The 23,734-nt window shown below is 44.9% G+C and overlaps 1 protein-coding gene across 13 annotated transcripts in view; it reads left to right on the top strand.

Annotated features, from left to right (window-relative positions):
• Positions 1-23,734, top strand: part of DPP6 (dipeptidyl peptidase like 6) — a 1,146,153-nt gene that overhangs the window by 971,755 nt on the left and 150,664 nt on the right. For all 13 annotated transcript variants that reach the window (NR_157195.2, NR_157196.2, XM_047419951.1 and 10 more), the window contains one exon: positions 7,880-8,000. Coding sequence is in view for 11 of the 13 variants with exons in the window: in XM_047419951.1 (XP_047275907.1) it covers positions 7,880-8,000 (121 nt within the window). In the remaining 2 variants the exon portion in view is untranslated. The remainder of the gene's footprint in view (positions 1-7,879; positions 8,001-23,734) is intronic.

A 23,734-nucleotide genomic window follows, 5' to 3' on the forward strand; every position in this document is an offset into this window, starting at 1 on the left:
AGGCCTCTGTCTGTGGGTTTCAGGGGGTGCCAGGGACCAGACTGGAGAGCAGGCCTCATCCTGCGCCCACGTCCAACCTCCCTTATCCTCTCCCCCATGCTCCTGCATCTGCTTCCCAGAACCTCTCGGCCTGTAGGATCTGTTCTGTTGGTGAGGAGGGAGTACAGCATAAACACAGAAGGTCTGTGACGGAGAGAGATTGTTGAGGCTTCCTGCTGGAAGGTTGAGAGCTGAGCAGAGGCTTACAAGAGGGCAGGATCTGGATAGATGCCAACGAAAACAGAGCATTTGGGTGAGGAGAAGAGTGAATCGATGGACTGAGGAGGGAACACACCTGTGCTATGCCCAGGAGAGGAGGCACCAGCAGGCAGAGCTTCCAGGCAGGGCGCCAGGGCAGGGCAGCATGGAGGAAGTGGAGACAGTGGCCTTGCCTGTCCTGGAAAAGCCTGCGAGTGTCCCCATCACTTACTAGTGGGGGCTGGATAGTCACACATGAGGACCACAAAGCAGATGTTATCATTCTCCTGGGCCTTATGTACATCTCAGTATGTTTGGGAGACCTGAGCATTTACCTTGTAAAAGTTTTCTGGAAGAAGGAACCAAGGTTTGATGGCAGAGAGTACATGCCCTGCTCCAGGATGGCAGAGAGCACATGCCCCGCTCCAGCATGTCAGAGAGCACATGCCCCACTCCAGGATGGCAGGGCCCCCCGGCTGCAGCATGGCAGGGGTTCCAGTGGACAGTGGGCTTGGGTGTTTCAACAGCATCTCCCACTGCAGGGCCCCAGTGCCACAGTTGGGTTGAGGCCACAGAATCCATTGCAGATGCAGGTACTGGCTGAGTGCCCACAGGGCAAAGGCCATCCTGAAAAAGGGGTGGGCAGCCCCTTCACCAGAACGGAATGCAAGTGCTGAGCCAGCTGACAGGGTCCTTGACTGATGGGTCTTTCAGTGAGAAGGGTCTCCTGCCAGTGTGGGCCTGCAGTCACCGGGCAGCTGACGACAAAACTCCCAGCAAGAGGTCTTTCCCCAATAAGCCTCGAGAAGAGGGCAGAATGGGGCCAGCTGCTGACGCAGCTGCCATGTCTGCTGGAGACATGCTGTGACAATGACAGGGAGGCATCCTTCCGTCCCCACCTGGTTCTTCTGTATGGGTCTCATGAGTGTGAGCTTCTGACATCAGGTTCCTTCTGAGTGAGGAAGAGAATGTGAGAGGTGGCATCCTGATTAAAGCTGTTTATGGTCTGGTGCATTTTTGGTTAAAAATCACACTTTTCATTTATTTAGCACATTGCTGTCAAGTTGCAACACGCTGTAATTATCAGACCACAAGTTCTGGAACCTGCTGCGTAAGGTCCAATCCTGGCTCCTCCTTCCGCTAACTGCTGACCTTGGGCAAGGCATTTAACTGCCTCGTACAACCTGGTTTCAATCCCAGCCGCACCCCTGACCCACCAGCTGCTGGGCAAGTTGCTTAACAGCTCTGTGCTCCTGTGTCTTCATCTACAAAGCAGGAATGATAGTACCTGCCCCATAGGGTTATTTTTAAAGATTAAGCGAGTTAATGCTCATAAAGCACTTTCGAAGTGTCTGCCCAACATATACAAAAATTTACCCGAAATACATCAAAGACCTAAATATAAGTGAAAACTGTAAAAATCATAGAAGCGTAAGGGAAATGTTCATGACCTTGGATTTGGCAATGGATTTTTAGCTGTGACACCAAAAGCATAAAAAATAAAAGAAAAAATAAAAAGAAGTAGATAAGCTAGACCTGATCATAATTAAAAGCATTAATCCTTAACATTCTAGCTCACATGACACCTCCTCTGAAGCCTGTTCTAACCCCTTCAGAGAGAATGGATTTTTTATAAGGGAGACAGTAACAGCAACAGATGTGACTGAGCATTTACTTCATTCAGGCCAGCCACTGTTTTACGTACTTTGAGTTGGTTGACTCACTTGCTCTTCACATCCATTTAAGATTAGATTCTATTGGCCATGCACAGTGGCTCACACCTCTAATCCCAACACTTGTGAAGCCAAGGCAGGAGGATCACTTGAGGCCAGGAGTTCAAGACCAGCCTAGGCAACATAGTGAGACCCCATCTCTACCAAAAAAAAAAAAAAAAGATACAGATAGATAGATATATAGATAGATGCCTGGCCGTGGTGGTGTGTGCCTGTGGTCCCAGCTACCTGGGAGGCTGAGGCAGGAGGATTGCTTGAGCCCAGGAGGTTGAGGCTGCAGTGAGCTATGATCACACCACTGCACTCCAGCCTGCACAACAGAGAAAGACCCTGCCTTCCAAAAACAACAACAACAAAAGATGAGGTTTTATTATTATCTCTGCTGACAAATGGAGAAACTGAGGCAGATAACAGTCCAGCAGCTGGCCCAGGCCATGCAGCACATCCTCTGTGCTCCCAGCACGTGTTGCAGACACCATCGTGTAGTCTGGAGCACACTGAGCTGGTTAGATCCAGATTCCCACTGTGAATGGGAACTCCTTAGGGCCAATGACATCCCTAACCCTGAATCATGGGACCTCAATGACTTCTGCAGGACTGAAAGTTACATCTTGATTCTGGAGGGATTTGGGTCGCAGACTAGAGATTTAAACTTTATTCTGAAGTAAGCAGAAAGTTATTTCAGATTTTTAAAAAATACATGAGAAAAATCGTGTTTCAGTAAAGACAAATCTGGTGTGCAACGTATGAGATAAATCAGGGGCGGCAGCAGGAGGCAGGGAGTTGAGTGAGGGTGGCCCACGGTTGTGAGTGGCTCCAGGTGGGTGGGGTGAGGCCTTGGGGATGGTGCGTGGACTAATCCAGATAGTGAAGGCCACACGTAGGGAGGCTTCAAGTCCCTTTAGGAACAAGAATCTCAGGAACTCAGAGGAGCCTGAGTGCTCTGCCAGCCATGCACATGGTGGATAAAAAGTAAAAATTCAGTCACTCACCCAATATTTGATCTCAGCATCCAGGATTTCTCAGCCTCTTGGGGGTTAGCATCGCAAAACCACAGGCAGAACTTGATGCCTTCCATCTTCTTTTCTTCAGATATCTTAATCTGAATATCAAAAGGAGAATGTGAGGCACAGTGGCTTATGCCTGTAATCCCAGCACTTTGGGAGGCTGAGGTGGGTGGATCACTTGGGCTCAGGAGTTTGAGACCAGCCTGGGCATCATGGCAAAACCCCATCTACAAAAAATACAAAAATTAGCCAGGAGTGGTGGCTGGCATCTGTAGTCCCAGCTACTTGGGAGGCTCAGTGGGAGGATTGCTTAAGCCCAGGAAACAGGTTTACAGTGAGCTGAGACTGAGCCACTGCACTCCAGCCTGGGTGACAGAGCAAGACTCCTTTCTCTCAAAAAAAGGAAAATGTGAAAGATCTTCAAAGCAAAATACACTCTTCTTTATAGCTTGTTCTTTCATTTTCCTTCCATTAGAAATAAAACCAAAGCAAAAAAAGAGGATTTAATATCCATCATAGCAAACTTTACTAACTGAAAATAATAATTGGCTATGGTCTGATTTGATTCAAAAATCCATTGTAGGCTTACAACACATTTATTTTTAAAAAAAAAAAAAGCTAAAACTTAGTAATACATCTTACCCTTAGGCAAACTCATAAGAACAGCTGCTGAAATTAAATTAGGTTGTATACTTGTTTCTGGAAGTTTTCCACCTCATTTCTGGCTGAAGTGAATCCTTGAAGAACCAGGAGGGCTGAGCAGAAAACAAATATTTGCCACTGCTTTCAGATCCATCCCTCTGTGGGAACAATCTGGAGAAACTGCCTTTTTCATATTTTCAGTAAAAAAAATTCCATATTCATGCCATTTCCTGTATTATGCAAAATACCTTCCCTCCATAGTCTCTTAAATGACACTGCAATATTTTTCCTAGAATTTCCTAAAAGAAAACAGCTGGTTTGATCCCCACTCTTGGTCCGCATGCCTGATTTCTGTAGACACTGGGTATTTGCAGTCTGGGCTGCATCAGTTTGTGAGGTACCCATAAGGATGTGGGCAGAGAGTTTAGAGACAGAAAACCCAGGGCAGAATTGATCCATGCACCAGAAAATGCATTGTGTAGGACAATTTATAGCTTAGGAGCTTCAGGAGACATGAGGTGGTTCCTGGGTCACAGGTTCTCAAATTTGGCTGCATATTGTAATCACCTGGGATGTTTCTTTAAAATGCTGATGCCTGGATTCCATTCCTAGAGATTCTGACTTTGGGTTGGTCTGGTGGATTGTGCATTAGGTTTTTCAAAAGCTCCCCAGGCCATGTAATATGTATCAAAATCTGAGGACCACCAACATAGACCATCTCCCCCTCCTCCCCAGAGAGGGGGCGACTTGCCCAAGGTCAGAATTATAATATCTTCCAGTGTACCCCAACTCTGCAGATGGTTCTCTATCACCCAGTGGCCCAAGAGATCAGTTTGAGAACAACTTTGCCTCATCCCACAACTTCACCCCAGACCTCAGGTCACTTCCCATGGTCAATGGGTTCTTCTCATAGTCTCAATGGCTGATCCTTCTCCATCTCCATGGTTAGTGCTCCTCAGATGATAGCAACAGGCTCCTCTCATTTGAGGCCTGGCTCCCTTCTCTTCGCCACACCATCTGCCTCCATACTCATCTTCAGGAGACTTGAGTGTAAACATGTTGCCTCCTACTCACACCTCTGTCAGGGGCTTCCCATTGCCTTTGGGACACCTTAATGTGGCTTCCAGACCCTCCAGGAGCTGGCTCCTGGCCTCCTGAGTATCCCATCTTGCCCCTCCTGTATGATTCCGCTTGTATGAGGTCCCTGGAGTTGTCAGACCCCTAGAGACAGGAAGTAGAGTAGGGGTGCCAGGGGCTGGGGGAGGGATGGGGAGTTACAATAGTATTTAACGGGGACAGAGTTTCAGTCTGGGAAGAGGGAAAGGTTCTGCAGATGGATGGTGGTGATGGTTGCACAAAAATATGAGCATACTTAATGCACTGAACTGGACACTTAAAATGGTTAAAATGGCAAATTGTATGTAATGCATATTTTATCAGAACAGTAAATTTTTTTCAATAGCTTTCTGAGAAAGACCTTGCCTGCCCTTTGCCTGAGTTAGGCAGCTCTGTTTTGTGTTTCCAGAACTCCACAATCTTCCTATCAGACCACTGTCCTGCTTAGAGTCTGGCCTTTTTACAGATTGTGACTAGAATAAAGGCGCATTGGAGTTCTCGCCTATTTACCACTGTGATCCCCCATGACTGCAGAGTAGGTGCCCACTGCATAATTGTTAATGAATGTTGTTGAATGAATAAAACCCAGAACTACAGTGTCCCAGCCCGTCAATCTTAATTGCTAGGAAAAATTGGATTGCAAAAATAATCCAATTTGATATTGTATTAGTCCATTCTTACATTGCTCTAAAGAACTACCCAAGACTGGATCATTTATAAAGAAAAGAGGTTTAATTGACACACTGTTCTGCTGGCTGTACAGGAAGCATGGCTGGAGAGGCCTCAGAAAACTTTTAATCATTGTAGAGGGGAAGCAGGCACATCTTACATGGGGGAGCAAGAGAAAGAGAGTGAAGGGGGAGTGCTATACACTTTTAAACAGCCAGATCTCATGAGAATTCACTCACTATCAAGAAGAGCAAGGGGAAAATCCACCCCCATGATCCATTCACCTCCCACCAGGCCCCACCTCCAATATTAGGGATTACAATTTGACATGAGATTTGGGTGGGGTCACAAATCCAAACCATATCATTCCACTCCTGTCCCCTCCCAGATCTCATGTCCTGCTCCCATTTCAAAATACAATCATGCCTTCCCAACAATCTCCCAAAGTCTTAACTCATTCCAGCATTAACCCAAAAGTCCAAGTCCAAAGTCTTATCTGAGGCAAGGCAAGTTTTTTCTGCCTATAAGCCTGTAAAATCAAAAGCAAGATAGTTCCTTCCAAAATACAATGGGGACACAGGCATTGGGTAAATACTCCCATTCCAAATGGGAGAAACTGGCCAAAACAAAGGGCTACAGGCCACATGCAAGTCTGAAACCCAGCAGGGCAGTCATTAGATCTTAAAGCTCCAAAATGATCTCCATTGACTCCATGACTCATATCCAGTGCATGCTGATACAGCAGTGGTCTCCATGATCTTGGGCCACTCTGCCCTGTAGCTCTGCAGGGTTCAGCTTCCTCAGCTGCTTTCACAGGGTGGCATTGAGTGCCTGGGGCTTTTCCAGATGCATGCTGCAAGCTGTCAGTGGATCTACCATTCTAGGGTCTGGAAGACAGTGGCCCTCTTCTCACAGCTCCACTAGGCAGTGCCCCAGTGGGGTCTCTGTGTGAAGGCTCCAACCCCACATTTCCCCTCTGCACTGCCCCAGTAGAGGATCTCCATGAGGGCTTCACCCCACAACAGACTTCTGCCTGGACTTCCAGGCATTTCATACATCCTGAAATTTAGGTGGATACTCCCAAGCCTCAACTCTCACACTCTGCACACCCACAGGCTTAATACCAAGTGGAAGCCACCAAGACTTGGGGCTTGCACCCTCTGAAGCAACAGCCTGAGCTGTACCTTGGCCTCTTTTAGCCATGGCTGGAGCTGGTGTGGGCGCAATGCAGGGCACCAAGGCTGCACAGAGAAGTGGGACTCTGAGCCCGGCCCATGAAACCATTCTTTCCTCCTAGGCCTCCAGGCCTGTGATGGGAGGGGCTGCCTCAAAGTTCTCTGAAATGCCTTGGAGGCGTTTTCCTTATTGTCTTGGTGATTAATATTTGGTTCCTTTTACTTATGCAAATTTCTGTAGCAGGCTTGAATTCCTCCCTAGAAAGTGAGTTTTTCTCTTCTACCACATAGTCGGACTGCAAATTTTCCAAACTTTTATGCTCAGCTTCCCTTTTTAAATATAAATTCCAGTTTCCAATCATCTATTTGCTCATGCATAACAAAAGTGACCTTGGCTGCCATTCTCAATAAGTTCCTTATCTCCATCTGAGACCATCTCAGCCTGGACTTCATTGTCTATATCACTATCAGCATTTTGGTCACAACCATCCAACAATTCTCTAGGAAGTTTCAAACTTTCCCTCATCTCTCTGTCTTCTGAGTCCTTCAACCTGTTCCAACCTCTGCCTATTACCAAGTTCCAGAGTCACTTCCACATTTTCAGGTATCTTTGTAAGAATGGCCCCTTCTCAGTACCAGTTTTCTGTATTCATTCCCACATTGCTCTAAAGAACTACCTGAGACTTGGTAATTTATTTTAAAAAGAGGTTTAATTGACTCATGATTCTGCAGGCTACATAGAAAGCATGGTTGGGGAGGCCTCAGGAAACTTTCAATCATGGTGGAAGGTGAAGGGAAGCAGGCACAACTTACATGGCTGGAGGAGGAGGAAGAGAGCACAGGGGGAGGGCTACACACTTTTAAACAGCCAAATCTTGTGAGAACTCCCTCACTATCATGAGAACAGCAAGGGAGAAATCTAGCCCCATGATCCAGTCACCTCCTACCAGGCTCAGCCTCCAACATTGGAGATTACAATTTGACATGAGATTTGGACGGGGACACAAATCCAAACCATATCAGATTTTAAGTAGCTAGAAGTATCAGACCACAAATTGTCCAGTCATGGTAAGTGATAACATTGGGTGAAGAATGTGGAATTTCAGCCTCTGATTAATCCTTACAGGTATATTCTGTTCGAGGTGGGTAGACCTCCAAGAATTTTGAGACTGCCTTTGTTCTGTCTAATAAATACAACAGGAAAATGAAAACCCGGTTGATGATTTCAGATTTTTTAAGAACAGCCTATTTATAACCACTTCCTTGCTTAATATTATGCTTTTTTCTCTTTCCAAATTAGATATTTATTTTTGAAAACAATATCTACTACTGTGCACATGTCGGGAAACAGGCCATCCGTGTGGTCTCCACTGGCAAGGAAGGTGTGATTTACAATGGCCTCAGTGACTGGCTGTATGAAGGTAAGATGTGCACAGAGAGAAAAAAGGAAGATTTGTGGTTGCTGCTGCTGCTACATTGGAGTTGGGTTCTTTTTCATTTTTCTTTGACTTTAACTGTAAATTAAACTCCAGTTTCTTGAGGTTCTGCAAAATTTAAAAGATTTTGTTAGAGCTTTTGGGATCAGGCTGATCAGCATCAGAGAACAGCATCAGGCTGTTGTCAGGGGCCTGCAGTGTTGTGCACTCACCTGGGACAGGTGTGCTGGCTTTGGGCTTTGCAGAGCTCTGCAATTCATCCCTGAAGGGCAGGAGGCTCGTTAATGGGAGATTTATTATGTCAGGAGGTGACTTCTGGGAACGCTCAGGGACTGCAAATGCATGTGTCTCTACCCCACTCCAAGACATAAGTGCCTCGTTTTGCCTTGGGAAGGGGACAGTTGGAAAAGAAAGAATGAGTTGCATCTTTCCAAATAAATCATCAGAGTGACTTGCTGCTGAGAGCGCCTCCACCTTGCTGGACATTTTCTACCACTGGTTTGCCTTTGGCACCAGAAGACTCATGCTGTATACATTATTAAATAACTAGAAGTCAGAGGGGGAAGCTCTCTTCTTAAACTTTGATAACCTGTCTCCATGCTCATGACCCTTCATCGTAACAATAACAACCAGGTATTGATTGCTATTAGCTGTCAGGCACTGCTGGAAGCACTTTGTTTTCTGTTACTTCATTCCACCCTCTGTCTTAGTTTGTTCAGGCTGCTGTAACAAGATATAACAAGATTCCACAGACTAGGTAGCTTAAACAATGAATATGTATTTCTCACAGCTCTGAAGCCTGGGAAGTCCAAGATCAGGGTGCTGGCAGACCCACTGTCTGGTGAGGGCTCTCCTCCTCACTTGTACATGGCTGTCTTCTTATGTCCTCACCTGGCAGAGTAGAGAGAGCTCTGGTCTTTTTATCTCTTTATAAGGGCACAAATCTTTTTATCTTTTTATCTCTTTATAAGGGCATGAATCCCATTCATAGGGGCAACACCCTCATAACCTCATCACCTTACAAAGGCTCCACCTCCTAACCCCATCACCTTAGGGATTTGGGTTTCAATATATGAATTTGGGGGGACACAGACATTCAGTTCATAGTACTGTCATAACAAGGTTCTATTTTATAGATGAGGCATGGTTAGGTTAAATAATTGGCCCAAGTTTACACAAGGTAAGGAATATTTATTGGGGAAAGGCGTTGTCCAAGCTCAGGGTAATTACCTTTTTTGAATTCCACATGTGGCTACAGTAACCGTATGCTTTCCAGCATGGGGCTGATGAACAACCCAAGCTCTTCTCAGCCTCCTGGCCTGAAACCGTGTGGTCACAGCAATAACTCACCCTGCTAGGCTGGGTCAAGGGAGGGTCAGGGAGATTCTGGGTGCTTTCTCAAGCCAGTATCACTTTCTCCTAGTGCTGTGCATGCCTCATTCTGCATTTTAGTGGCTTTATGCATCATAAATTATAAAGCAGATGGATATGCAAGCTTAGTGTTACCTCCTAGGATAATTTCTCTGAAGCCATAAAGTTCTATGACTTGATTTTTAATTTTTGTAAATGGAGGTATAATTTGTACATAATAAAATGTACATCAGAAGGACAGTTTGATGAGTTTGGCAAATGTATATACTATATAGCCCCAGTCAAGACATAGACCATTTCCATCAGTCTAGAATATTCCTACAAGTCCCTTTCCAAGGGCTTTCTCCCTAAATCTGTCTTCCAGAGACTGCCACGGTCCTGGGGGCTAAGCAGCCCATTCTCTAACAGACATACTGGAACCCAAGCATCCACATGAGGCTGTCCTTCCCTGTGTGGTCACCATGGAAGCCCCATGTTTATTCCAATGTGGCTGCCGGTGCTCAGAGCATGCTGAAGAGTCCAGTTTCCTTCTGAGCCCCAGGAGAATCAACCCTGAGATTTTATTGTCACATGAGTCCTTGGCTACACCTGAAAAAGCCACTGGAATGAAAGAGGGGACACAGTCTGCTGTAGTTATGCCTGTTCTGTGCAGAAACAGCCCTAGAAATGGTGTGCCCGGAGATGTCCCCAGCTCCACCAAAGAGGTACAGGCAGCAGCACAAAGGGAAGCTCCGGAGGGGCTGCACCTCTGCCTGGGGTGCAATCCCTGAGCCTCTGGGGCTTGCCTGCCCCCTGGACTCAGTAGACTGTTGACAATGAGGACTCTAAAGCCCCTTGTGTGCTGCCCTTTTGTGAGAAAAAGGCCTTATACCTAGGAGCAACTGGAAAACTGGGTCCTGTTTGCTCCCTGATATCTGAGATCCCACTAACAGCTCTTTTGCTTGGGTGTGAGATCAGCTCAATATCTGGATAGGGAAGGGAACCCAGGGGCTGGAGATCAGAACATGAGTGGTTCAAAGTAAGGCTGTGGAGCTGCAGGGACCCAGGGAGGAGACCTGGCCCAGTCACGGGACATGACAAGGGTCTTCCACTCCATCGACCTCAACATGCTCATGTGTACATGGGAAGAATGCCCCAAACACTACACTTCCTGAGGACTGTGTGAGACTTGGAGTGGAATACGTGCAGCACATGACATGGTCAGCAAGGGACAGTTGCTGCTGTTGTTTCTTATCACAATAAAAATAACAATAATTATGTATTTATTACTATTATTGTAATTATTTGTTAGTAGTATTTTTATCACAAAGGAAAAAAGATGTTTAAAAAAGAAAAAAATGGCATAGATATCAAGGCAATGTTACCCAGGTGGTCATTCTGCCACAGGGCAGAAATTGTCTGACCTGAAAATTCAAGAGAGATCAGTGCAAATAATAATGAACCCAAGGTGTGTCCCCCGTCCCTAAGAGAAAGGGCCCCTAGAATTTTGGCTGCAAGAGCCTAGGCATTCTCTGGGACTAATCTCCCTCAAAAATCCATAACCAGGAGATTTAAAATATCTTTTTTAGTATCTTCTTAATAAAATAAAAAGTTCATTGCTTTGCCATTCACATTAAGCTTTTGCTTTAGCAAATCCATTGAAAGGACTTTTTTCTTCAAGGCATTTACACGAAATTGTGTTGATGTGATAACAGAGCCCTAAATATTTTAAATCAATCACAGTTGATGTGGCAGCTTAATCTACTTAGTGTTGTTCCCTGGAAGGTTTATATGCTGATGCTTAGATTTCTGAGGCTGGGAGCACAGGAGCCCTGAGGATTCTTGCTTCCTTTTTTAATAATGGGAAAGTAAACTTTGATGATCGCTTTTGCCTACTCTGTGACTTAACTGTTTCAATTCCAAACACTTCCTTTAAAAAAGTTAGGGGGTGGGGGGAGATTAGAATGAAAATGCCCTAAAGCATTTGCAGAGGGGCTCATTTGCTTGGAGATGTTAGTTCTAAGAAGATAAGCTGTGTACGTGGGAAACAGCCACTGCAGTCCATAGCTTGTTGGCAGAAAAATGCCTTATTGATTTGTTTTGTTTCCCAGAAAGGATCTTAAACATACTAAACATTGCAAAATATTGGAGACTGAGGAAGAGAAGAGGTGGGCAGCCATAGAGGCTTCTGGGAGTCTCCAACCCTTGACCTAAGCTTTAAACACACAAAGTGGGAAAAGCTCCAGTTTACTGAAGCAGTCGCCCACATGCCAGAATGTGAGCTCAACACTGGCTGTGAACTCAGCACTGGCTGTGAACTCATCACTGGCTGTGAACTCAGTGTATCTGTCTTGCTGATTCTCTAAAGAGAGTCCTGTGGCTCATGGTGGCCACAAACTGATTTTGATAAGCAAAATGCATATCTTCATTTTATTCTTCTGGGAAAATGTCATAAAATTACATCGAATTTTGATTTTAATAAAAACTAAAGACAGCTTAATAGAGTCCTACAACTTTTTAAAGTTTATTAAAGTTTGTTTATTCATAAACTAAACGTAAGATGTTACTGAAGATGAAGATTTTGAGGCCTGTGAGTGAGTGTTCTGTTAAGAATGTGCACTTTGATGCAGGGCTCAGTAATTTTGCAAAGTTCCTAGTATGTAGGCATATGGGCAAAGAGTTGGAATTCTCCAAGTTTTGATGAAAGTTCTTTGTTACCGCCATTACATGGTTGATTGTGTTTCCAGCTGCCACTCTTTGTTTATAAATTACTCTTTGTTTTTCTTTTGTTTGTTTTTTTTTTTGAGATGGAGTCTTGCTTTGTCACCCAGGCTGGAGTGTAGTGGCGCAATCTCGGCTCACTGCAAGCTCCGCCTCCCAGGGTCACACCATTCTCCTGCCTCAGCCTCCTGAGTAGCTGGGACTAACAGGCGCCTGCCACCATGCCCGGCTAATTTTTTTTTTTTGGTATTTTTAGTAGAGGTGGGGTTTCACCGTGTTAGCCAGGATGGTCTCAGTCATCTTCGTTATCATCATATGCATGAGCTATAGTGGGACAGCACAGAATTTTTGGCCAATAATTTGCTAATAATGACTTTAAGTTATTAAATATTTCAGCTAAACAATGAGTCATCCATACTTCTTTTACCAAAGCAGTCACATGCATATGCATATCCAAAATACATATAATTATTCAGTGATATGCCATTATCATGGAATGACTCACAGCCCTGTGGAAAGCTGGAACATGTTAGGGTCATTGGAGGACAACATCTTTCCTTATGTATATAAAAGATCTTATCCCCTCAAAGGGCAGTGGAGGTAGAGTGAGGGATGATGAACTCGAGAAGATATTTATAGAGCTCAGCCTGGAGTCATCAGCCTGGGATGGCAGGGAAAGTGAGAAAAGGGCCCGAAGGGTATTTATTTCATATCTGGTTTGGCATGGATGAAATTCCAGGGCTGGATTTTCCTTAACTAGTCAAGAACATAAAAGTACTTGAAAAATGTGATCAGATCAGGAGACCCAGTTTGGCACGGAAGCATTTCCCCGTGCATGTCAGCAGGAATCATGTTAGATGAGACTCTCGAAGCTGCCCCTGGCACTAGTTCCCCTTGCGTGGTTCTAGGACCCATGCAGTCAGGCAGCCCCTGACAAGGAGTAGCTGCTGGGAAGTCTCCTGCCAACAATACTCACTTCTGCTCCACCCTGCCCAGTCCACCGCCCTCGCCTGGACTCCATGGCACCCTCCCCATTTTCTGCAGCCCTGCCCTGACTCCTGAGGCCCCCTTCTCCCAGTCACAGCCCTTGCCACAGTCCCCACGGAGCCACCGTCCTGGTTCCACCTACCTGGGAGCCCCCAAGAGAGACTGTCTTCACTGTCCCACACTAACTGCCACCTTCACTGGGTGGCCAGCATGGAGGAAGTGGGGATGTGGCTAGTCTGGCCAGAAAGGACTTCCTTCCAGAACTGCTGCTGCTGGAGAGGGGTTTAGTGCCTCTTGAGTTGGAACTCAGAATGCTCTCATTAGCGATGTAGTCAGGCCCACTGTACAAGGAGCAGAGCCTTTCCTAAGCTAGGGCCCTCAGTCCTGCTGGATGAGCACCAAACCCTGGTGGTGTGACCATTACCCTCCATCTGTGTGTCCTGCTCATGTCTAGGGACTGCAAGGCCAGCGTGAGGCAAGGCCTGCTTTGCACTTCTTTATAGTTTCTCAAAGCATCTTTAAAGAGTCAGCACTCATGACCTAATAGTTTTCTGTTCCAATGAAGTGCTCTAAGAGGTACCAGCAAAAGGTCAGGTGGGCCCCAGGCAGATAAATTTGAGTTAATGAATTTTGGGGGTGGGGCAATTCCATGCTTTATTGTCTTGAGTATTCAAGGAGGTGGAGAGTGTGTAGGAGTAGTAGTGCAGTGTAGTAGATCACAGTGGATTTTCACACTTTCATGGAAGAAAACACATTATTAAAATGAAAGCCCTCCTGGGGATCGTGGAATGGTTTTCAGGGTCTGTTTTCCACAGGGGGCACATTCACCAAAAGAAAAGGGAACTCTTTGTTCATCCAGATTCCCATAAACTCTCTAAATCCCATGAAAGCAGAACAAACTTAAGTAACACTTCACGTGAAACTTGCATATTGGCTTTAATTTACATTCATGACACGTTAGATATGTTGTACACTTTGTGTGCCTTGTGTCACGCTGATACCCAGTGTGCTGAGTACCTGCTTCCTGCGTGTTGTGAACAGACCAGAGCCAGTTGTGACCATCGATAACTGGTACAGTCTTCAGTGAATAGCGGCAGCCTTGGACGGTTCGACGCAGATGAAGAAAATCTAGCACACCATCTTTTTATCTAAGAAAGCAATATGCTGGAACCATTAGACATTAATGACACTTATGCTACTTTTCTTTAGAGACAGGCTCTCACTATGTTGCCCAGGCTGGCCTCAAACTTGTGTGCTCCTGGCTTCGCCTCCTGAGCAGCTGGGACTGCAGGAACCTGCCACTGAGCCCCAACCTTTTATGCTGTTTTTAAAACTCCCTGACATACATTTGGAGACTGATATGTGAGGTGCTTACAGAAGCCCCCTGGAGTGTAGATTCTTGATTGGGTTCTGCAAATATTAACTGCCTCTGAAGCACCTGGCTAGGGCACTTCAACTGCTAGCAAACTGCTCCCAGGTAGTAGATCAAAGTGGATTTTTACACCCGTCATACATCTTAGTGACCATACTGATGTTTTTTAAATAAGTTATGGAGCAGGCAGTACAATGGGAATTGGAATGATGTTCAAATATGTACATTACTATGTAAACCATAGATCTGTAGTTATTTGGACCTCTTATTGATTACATCTCTTATTTGCATGATGGGAAATGTTTGGTTAGACAAGGACATCACTCTCAGTAAATTGGCAGAAACTTGTGATTAGCTTGACAAAGCTCCTTTGTGGAAGAGCAGGGCAGAGTCTTTGTAGTGATGATGCCTGTGTTTAAACAAAAGCTTCACCACGTAAAAGCTGTATGAACTTGGATGAATATTTGACCTCTTTGTGTCTCTGCTGCCTTGTCTGCAAAACAAAGATAACAGCAGTATATGCTCCATAAGGTCACAGAGGAAATTGAAATAAGCTAATACACATAGAGCTCTTAGAATAGTGCCTGCCACTGGTAACGTCTACGTATTGGTGGTACAACTACTATTGCTTTACCTTGTAATTTCCCAAACTCGGTAAAATAAGAGGCACCTGCTCAACTATTTCATTTGCAATGTCAGGAATCGGAAGCATTAATGTGTAATTAATGATACCTATCAGTGTTGAAAACTCTGAAGCTCTATTCACTCATAAAATATTATCTGTAGTATGTTCACATAGAAAATGCACTATGAGTTCCCAGTCATCCTAGAAATGCTATTGATACCATGTTGAACACCTCTTCAAGAGCCTTCTGTCCACGTTTAGATTCTCCAAGCTGAAATCACACCCTTAGTTGCCACTGATGCCTGACAGAGAGACAGCTGTTTTCCTTTTATGAGCCCCAAAGTTCTTGTGACTTGGTAAAAATTATGCCTCATGATCTCTTACAGAAATTGAGTACTTAAAAAAATTATATTCCACTTCATCTATGACTTCTAAGGGAGGATATGAAAGTAAAAGTAATGATGAAAATATCTAAAATGTAATCAGTGTCTGGCGAAGCTATCAGACCTATGAGGTACTGTGCAATGGAGCATTGGCTCAATCAAATAGCAATCATTCTGAGCAGGAGTCTGAATGCTTTGGGTATTTCATGTAACTAAAATGAGTATTTTCCTTGTCTAGTCCTAGTCTCCAACTCTGTAAAGTATTAATGATCTTGACTTGAAGAACATGTTAATTTTACCTTGTAGAGAGACAAGGAGGAAAAGCCAAGAAGCTGTTTGGTAGAAGTTCAGTTGGCTCTGACCAGAAAATGGCTGAGATGGCCTAAGAGTTCCATTCCTTCTGTGCTTCTCTGAACCTGTGAGAGATTTCTGGGTTTCTAGATTTCTGCAAGGATCAACAGGAAAACAGTGTTCTAAGGCAGGAAATAAGAATGTCAGGAGCATAACATAGACTGTGATTGCCACAGGTAAGCCAGGCTGGCTGCCAAGGCCCTCTTAGCCCCCTGGGTCCAACTGCACCTGTTCCTCACTTGACCCTGAGTCCCACCAGACCCTCCCCTGCCATCGTCTGCTCTCAACGTAGCAATCATGGCATCATGGCTGCCTCAGTGCCAAACTTTAAATCCAGGTAGGTCACCAGGAAACACCAGCACATCCTAACCAGCACCATCTCTCTGTTTCTGCGATCATGGGCAGACCACTATCTTTCTGCTGTAACAACACAAAGTGTATGCCCTCACTTGCCTATGTTCATCTGAGTTTTCTTGAAAGAAAAACACATGGCTATTGATTCTCTAATCACAGAAGGAGGTAGTGTTGGAGCTGAAATGGACGTTAGCAGACATTGAGTCCAGCAGTCAGTAAACTGTTTCTGTAAATGGCTAATAGAGTCTGGGTAATAGAGTCAGGGTTTTGCAGGACATATGGTCTTCATTGCCACTGCTCAAGCCTGTTGTCATAGCAAAACAGCAGCCATACACCATAAGCATGGCTGTGTTCCAATAAACTTTATTTGTGGACAGCGAAATTTGAATTTCTTGTAATTCTCACATGTCATTAAATATTCTTCTTTTTTACCAGCTATTAAAAAACACAAAACCAATTCTTAGCTCTCAGGTCATACAAAAGAGACAGCAAGCCAGATTTGGCCCAAAAGCCATAGTAAGCCAATCCCAATTTGTCCAGTCATCACATTCACAGACGAGGCTACTGACATCATGTCTGAATTCTTCCAGCTCTTGTCGTCTGTATCAAGATCATTTGTAATGACAACCAATTATTTCAAATTTTGCTTCTCCAAATAAGTCTAGTTACTTGAAGTCAAGAACTGTATTTTATATTGTATGTTTCCCATAACACCAGTGACTCTCTGAGTACTTAATAAATGTTCAGAAAATACTTTTGAATGAGTTAATTCACAGAGAGAAACTCACATATTCTAGGAACCTCCACAAGGAAATCATATTGTTTCTCCATGATCACTCTTATTAGAATTTCCATTTCCACAAAATTCCCTCAACAGAAAAACACCTGATTAACAAAAAGCAACAGTAATTGTTAACCTCGTTTTAATTATGAGTTTCACGTTTTATCCCCAAGGATAAAGGAAAAAACTGGAGTGACGTTGGGAAGGACATGGTCTTCTTACCGTGAGCCCAGGGGCACAGGATCATAGCTCATCAGACTCTAGACCATCTAAATTCATGCTAAGTCATAGTTCACATACTGAATGAATAGAGTAGGAATAGCAGTATCTAAGTTTCAGTGAGTCTTTCTTCCATGCCAGGCCTTACACAAATAAACTTCGAGAGCGCTATGAAGAAAGCTCTAGGATTGTTCCTTGGTATCCTCGGGAGACTGGTTCCAGGAACCCCACTGCACCCACCCTTCTTCAATCAGATACCAGAGTCTGAGGATGCTCAAGTTCCTTGTGTGAAATGGCTTAGCATTTGCCTATTACCCGTGCTCATCCTCCGGGATACTTTAAATCATCTCTAAATCACTTATAAATACCTAACACCATGCAAAGCCTATGTAAATAGTTGATATGCTGTATTTTTTATTTGTAATATTTTTTATGGTCACACTGTTATTTTTTTCTTTAATATTTTTGATCTGCATTTGGTGGGAGGGTCTAGAGATGTGGAATTTTTAGACACAGAGGGCCAACTCTTTCCTTATCCTATTGCACAGCTGTGGAAACTATTAAGTGGCCTTTCTGTGGACAAACAACCAGTAGGGAGCCTGCCTGAAGCTGCTAAGCACTTTCCTGCTGCATATGAGTTGCATTAATTTCTTGCCTATGAAATTAGGCTTGGGTCCATACTCAAGTTCTGGGTGCAGCATCCTGTAGATGTGTCTGCTCAATGCCCCAGGCTTGAACCATCTGTGCTGTAAAAGGTGTGTCTCATGGCACAGATTTAAGAGCCCAACAGACCTTGATTTAAGCCCTCTGTGAGCCATTCAGCTGCCTGGTGACCAAATCACAAACCTTGTCTGACCCTCAGTTTCCTGGTCTGGATGATAAAACTTCAGGCACCTTTCTCAAAGAATTATTGCAAAGTTAAACAAGAGCGCTTCTGTGGAAGCGCAGGCATATTACAGTGGAACCATAAGAAATTGCCAACAGGTTCATTGTATATTAGCATGTGCATGTGAGATGTCCGGTGAAGGTCAACTTTCTTCTCCCATCCTGCTGGCTATGCTGGATGAGATCTCAGATATGGTAAAGTCTCAGATGTCTGCGTGCCCAGCACAGAGAATTTACCATGGAAAAGGCGGGGGTATTTTTTGACTGGAAGGTCAGACCTATTCACCTCCAGGTATAGCATCTCCAGGGCCCCCCCAGCAAACAGGAGATAAAAGGGATGACTGCTCTCCTGGTCTGTGGGTTTCTCCCAAGAGAAACTTGACAGAGACTTCCTTGCTCCAAATCTTCCTCTTCGTGGCTCCTTGTTTCTGGTACTGATTCCCACCACCCTCCTAATTGCCATGGTGACCAGTCGGTTTGCTATTTAATTAATGTTGTATCTGATTACATCTGTACCCTGGGAGTTCTCCAGCCAAGAGTTGCAATTTAAACTCAGAAATAAATAAAACGTTCAGCTGTGAGGATGGGGGAATTATCCTAGTCAATCCCGGAATATTCTTCCGACCTTTCTTAGATGAAAAATTATCTGGTGGAAGTTGGAGTGAGGCAGTAGTACACAATGAAGAAGGAACAATATTCTGCTTTTGGAATATTTAAAAGGAAGCCTCAGACAGCAGCTAGGGGTCCTGCTTAGCGGATAGAGCTTTGGAAAGAGGAAATATTAGAAATTTGGTTGAGAATTTTCTATGAAGTTCAGTGCTAAGAGCAGAGACCACAACTTAGGCTTTGCAGCCAGCATTCCCTTCCATAAACTTCAAACGTAAGCCTGATCAGAACAAGGCTAGCAGGAAGATGTGCTGGTGGGGACAGGCTAGGTCCTGCTGTGGGTAGCAAAAAACAAACAAAAGCAAACAGAACACTGCCTCTAATTTAAAACAGCAAAGTGTATTTCTCGTCGGAGATCACTCAAGCCCACTCTAGATCAGGGATGGGGAGGAGGTGAGGCTCTTTCCCTCACGGTCACTCAAGGTCCCAGGCTGCTGGGGCTGTCCTCTTAGGCATCGCAGCCACACTAGTGGAAAGGGGAGTGTTCCGGAGGGACACAAGCTGGGGAATAAATGCTTGGCCTGGGAATGACCCTGGCACTTCTACGCATGACTCATTGTCCAGAACACCTCATATGGTCCCACCAGGGTTCCAGGAAGTAGCACTGAGCCATTGTCCAGAAGAGGGGGAGGCCAGACATGTCTGGGAGGCAGGACTGAAGACCCCACATCTGGGCAGCTTTCTTGCCAACAGTGGGCCTCAAGTTTGGTGCCCAAAGCAGAAGAGGAATTGTCTAGAGGGATGTTGGGGAATCTCTCAGAATCAACAGGAAGATCAGAGTTGGGTTGAGAAAGCAGGCAGCCGTCCAGGGCAGCTGAGGGGACGCCAGGGGTCCATCTGGTTGGGACACTGCTGTGGGGGAATGGGAGTATGGGAGAGGCATTGTCTGCCCGGATCACAAATGACGTTCTTGAATGAGCTGCAAATAGAAATGCCATGTCCCCCATGGAATCATCAATATGGCAACTTGGGAAGCGTATTCCAGGAAAAAGCTAGGGTGTGTAACGTTTTATTGTTGCAAACTCTATCATTTCACACTTAAATGATAATCGCAAGGAGAGCCATCAGAACCATTAGTCATCATCTCTTCAATGCGAAGGTTCGTAATTGTCACATGCACCTTGCAATAAGGCACCTTGCAATAAGCTCCCTTCCTTCTTGGCATCTCCTTGGAGCCTGTGAAGTGATGAATGCAGTTCCCAATGCACAGCCCTCAAACTGCATGGGAGAAACCCCAGTGTCCCAGAGGACAGTGGGGGCGGCTTCAGCGTGGCTGTGTGGCACTGAAACAGGTTAACCGCAAACCTCTAGTTCTCAGAACCAAAGCTGAATCCACATTTGAAAATCCAGTAGAAGCTTTGTTAATATTTTAGGAAGGCTATTGAGTATTTTAATTCAACATGAAGAGGTGATCTAGCTGGTCTTGTGAAAAATCAGTAATAAATCTAAAGGGAGAATGTTCTCTAAAGGTACAGGAAGAATTCTCATTGGTCTTGAGAAATGTCCTTACAATTAATGACCTACTCCTGAGAGATCGTGACAAATATCTTAGGATGTTCAGTGACTATATTTTTCTATCTTTCAAATTATGCATTTCATTGTGAGATTAGGACAAACACACTTTTACCTTTTTTTATAGCGCCCTAATGAAACTTATGTATTTGAGGTTGAGATATTTGACACCCTTGGGAACTCTAATTTCTTTTTTTTTTTTTTCCGTCTTCTTAAGTCACCTAAGGACATTAGACCATTTGCCCTATTATTGAGAGTTTTACTAAAATGCAAGCTGCAAATGCCAGAAGGAAGATAGGCAACAAGACAATATGTACTTAAAAGAGTTTCATTTGATACTCAGAAGCTGGAACTAGACTTAGCTCTTTTGCTCACTAAACCTGTATTCTAACCTTTTTGGGCCTCAGTGTCTTTTTCTTGTTCTGGAAGCATCACTAGGGTGGACCAGATAATGCTAAACTCCTTTCCGTCTCTAACCCTTTTCATGTTTAATTATCAGTGCCATAAGCACACAGCGTTGATGGTATGAAGTCTGTGTCCATGCCAGATAACTTCACAAGGAAATAGTTAACAATTCTCGGTTTTACTTAGTAAACATACGGGAGCAATGCTCCTCAGTTGCAATGGTGGGGGCTGGGCACGTGGGTATCTCGGCCTTTTTGTCCCCTTCCTCTCCCCTTTCGTCACCCCCACACACAGGACATTTGCGTACTGGGAGAACCTTTATTAGATGATTCTGATAAACCTTCTCCTTATCCCCACGTGAAACCTATCTGCCCTAAAGGAATCAGTCTTCTGTCTCCTTTACTCCCCATTTTTTTCTTTCTATAAAATTTGCATTATTGGCATAACTTTTCTCTTTACTATGGGTTATCTTTGGGAAGGTGTAAGGGAATGCAAAGATAGCTCACCTCCACGTCAGAGCTCCCTGCACTTGCAGGCGTGGAGAGGACATACCCTTCGTCACTCGTTCTGTGCGTTAGGACCAGAGTGGAAGAGGATGCGAGGAGTCAGATTTCAGGTCAGTTGCTCTTCCCCAGCCTTCAAGCAATGGCAGAGGCTGTCCTGGGAAGGTCATGCTCTTCTGTCTGGGTTATCTGAAGTGATCATTGCACCGAGTGGGAGACTGGACATGCAGACCTATCATCTGCAGCCATACAAGCTCATGATTCTGGGCACCCTGAGTCAAGTCCCAGAGCCCAGGCAACCTGGCAGAACCCAGGAAGGGTGAAGCCTCTGCATGCTGGCCACTCAGGCCTACGATTAGCCCCTCCCCAGCACATCCGTGCATTCAGCGCAAGGCCAAGCTCCATCCAGTCGATGGAAATGGGCACCTGAGCCTCAGAAACACCCAAAGAAGAGAGCACCTTTCAGCTCTTCATGGAAGAAAGCGAGCCAGCCAGCACCTTCTTCTTTTTGCAGGAATAAATATGTCTGGCACCTGGATTATTTTATTTAAAAGGCCAGCTGTGTGGACACCATGCCTATAAAGTATTGGGATTTTTAATGAATGTTAACCAAGGAAGAGCCCAGCTAGGATACTTCCTGTAGGTGTCACTTTGTGGAGGTCTTAGGTGCTATCCAACCCTAAGGACAAGGCAGCCAGGCCAGCTGAAGGATTTCAGATCAGCTCTTTCTCTGCTCACCACCCTCATTATTATCCACTTCTTTTATGGGTCCACTCAGATGCTCATGCTCACAGTCTTACCTCCCTTCTCTCCATCCAGAAAGGTGAAACCTCACCCACCGCCATGTGGCTCCCACATCCCAGTGTCCTGCATCTGTGTCTCCAGAAACATGGCAGAGATAGAAGAAATTTACATGTAGCAAAATTCATCTCTTCAAGAAGATATTCCAACACCTGACAGTGGCCCACACAGTCCTCATTTACTAGGGAATCCTATTTCGAGCCCCTTCTGGGCGCCCAGATTGGATGAGTCACTATGGATTGCAGTGCCCCACCCAACGGGGTACCTGAAAAAGAGGAAGAAAGGGAGGCAGGGAGGGAAGGAGATGAAGGAGGTCCAAGACAGGGACCCTTCCCTTGAGGAACTGATACACAGTCAGTCCGATGGAGGCCAAGACCACCTGCAGGAAGCAGCTCCTTCCTTCCATTATTCGAGTGGGATTCATGCATTTATTCTGCACCGAAGCCCTCTACCAGGTCCTCCAAGGGAGACAGAGATGCTTTAAGATCTGGACCTGCCTTCACAAAGTGTATATCCTGCAAGATGGTATTGAACCACATCCTAATTACATGGCACAAATCTTTCACACATTTAGACACTTTTGGCAGAATGGTATCTTCTGATTTAAAACTGCAGAAACATGAAAATTAGAAAACCAAACAACCATTAATGCATTAACTCAAGAGTTCATTCCTAAAATCCAAATTTCCTTCTCTGGAGATAGGACCAGATCATAGCTCCCAATCTTTTCTCCAGTTTTTGTTTTACGACATTTCGGATTTGAGATTCTGTAAGAAGTGACCTAATGTGAGCATTTCCTGATATGGAGGAGACGCAAAATAGCTCAGGGAAAAAGTTGATCATTAGAAAAATCTGTGGTTGTCCCACTGTCTCATCGTGCCACTGGGAGTTTCTGGCCTCCGCTGGCATCTCTGATGAATGTTCTATGCCAGGACAAAGAAGGCGGGCATGGGCCAGGCAGTCCCTCCAGTCAGGGAACGGTGGCCTCTCCCAGCTGCCTTGGTGTTTAGGAGGCCCTGTAAGGGTATTTGGGATCTCAAGAGCCTCTGGGACTTACGGGCAAAGGGCAGACCTTAAGAGCCAGTCCCTCCTCCCCCAAAATGTTTAGCAAGCCAGAAATTCCCCTTTACTGCTAAGTCAAAGGAAGATGTTCTTTGACTCTTCAGGGAGCATAACGTACCATCCTTTGATGGTCATACACATTAAAAGAAGATAAAGCCAGAAATAAAAGGGAAAGAAACAGTTATATGATTTTGGTGGGAATTTGCAGAAATACAGGCTGAAGCTGAAGTCTTCCATCAGGTGAGGTTTTTTCCATTGATCTCATCTCTCGGGCTCAGCTCTTTTATCTCCAGCGCATTTTGGATGTGGCTTCTCTTTCCACCTGCTGGGCCTTTAGATAGAGTACTTCCTTTTGTTTCAAGGTAGCATTTAACTGAGTCTGGAAAAACCATCATTAAGGGAAAATAAAGCTGAAAGATGAATTGAAAACTATGTAAAAGGGCCCTTTCAGGCTGCCGGAGAGATTGCCTTTCCAGCCTAATGAGCCTGTGCTGCCTCTGATTCAGATGGTGCAAGGACAGGAGAAAAGAATGGAGTTTTGTGCACTGCGATTTTCCAAAGCACATAATGCTTAGTCATTTGGGGTGTTAGGAAAGAGAGAAAGTCGGAGCGGAGTGTGTGGTGAAGTGAGAGAAAGAAAGAAGGCTGAATTTTCGTTAAGCTGCTCAAATGCCTGCTTTAACAAAAGTCTGCCAGGGCTAGAGGTGATTAGCCATCAGTGCTGCTGCTGTTTTTGCTGTCG

The sequence above is a fragment of the Homo sapiens genome, chromosome 7, assembly GCF_000001405.40.
Source record: "Homo sapiens chromosome 7, GRCh38.p14 Primary Assembly".
In the NCBI taxonomy this organism is placed as follows: Eukaryota; Metazoa; Chordata; class Mammalia; order Primates; family Hominidae; genus Homo; species Homo sapiens.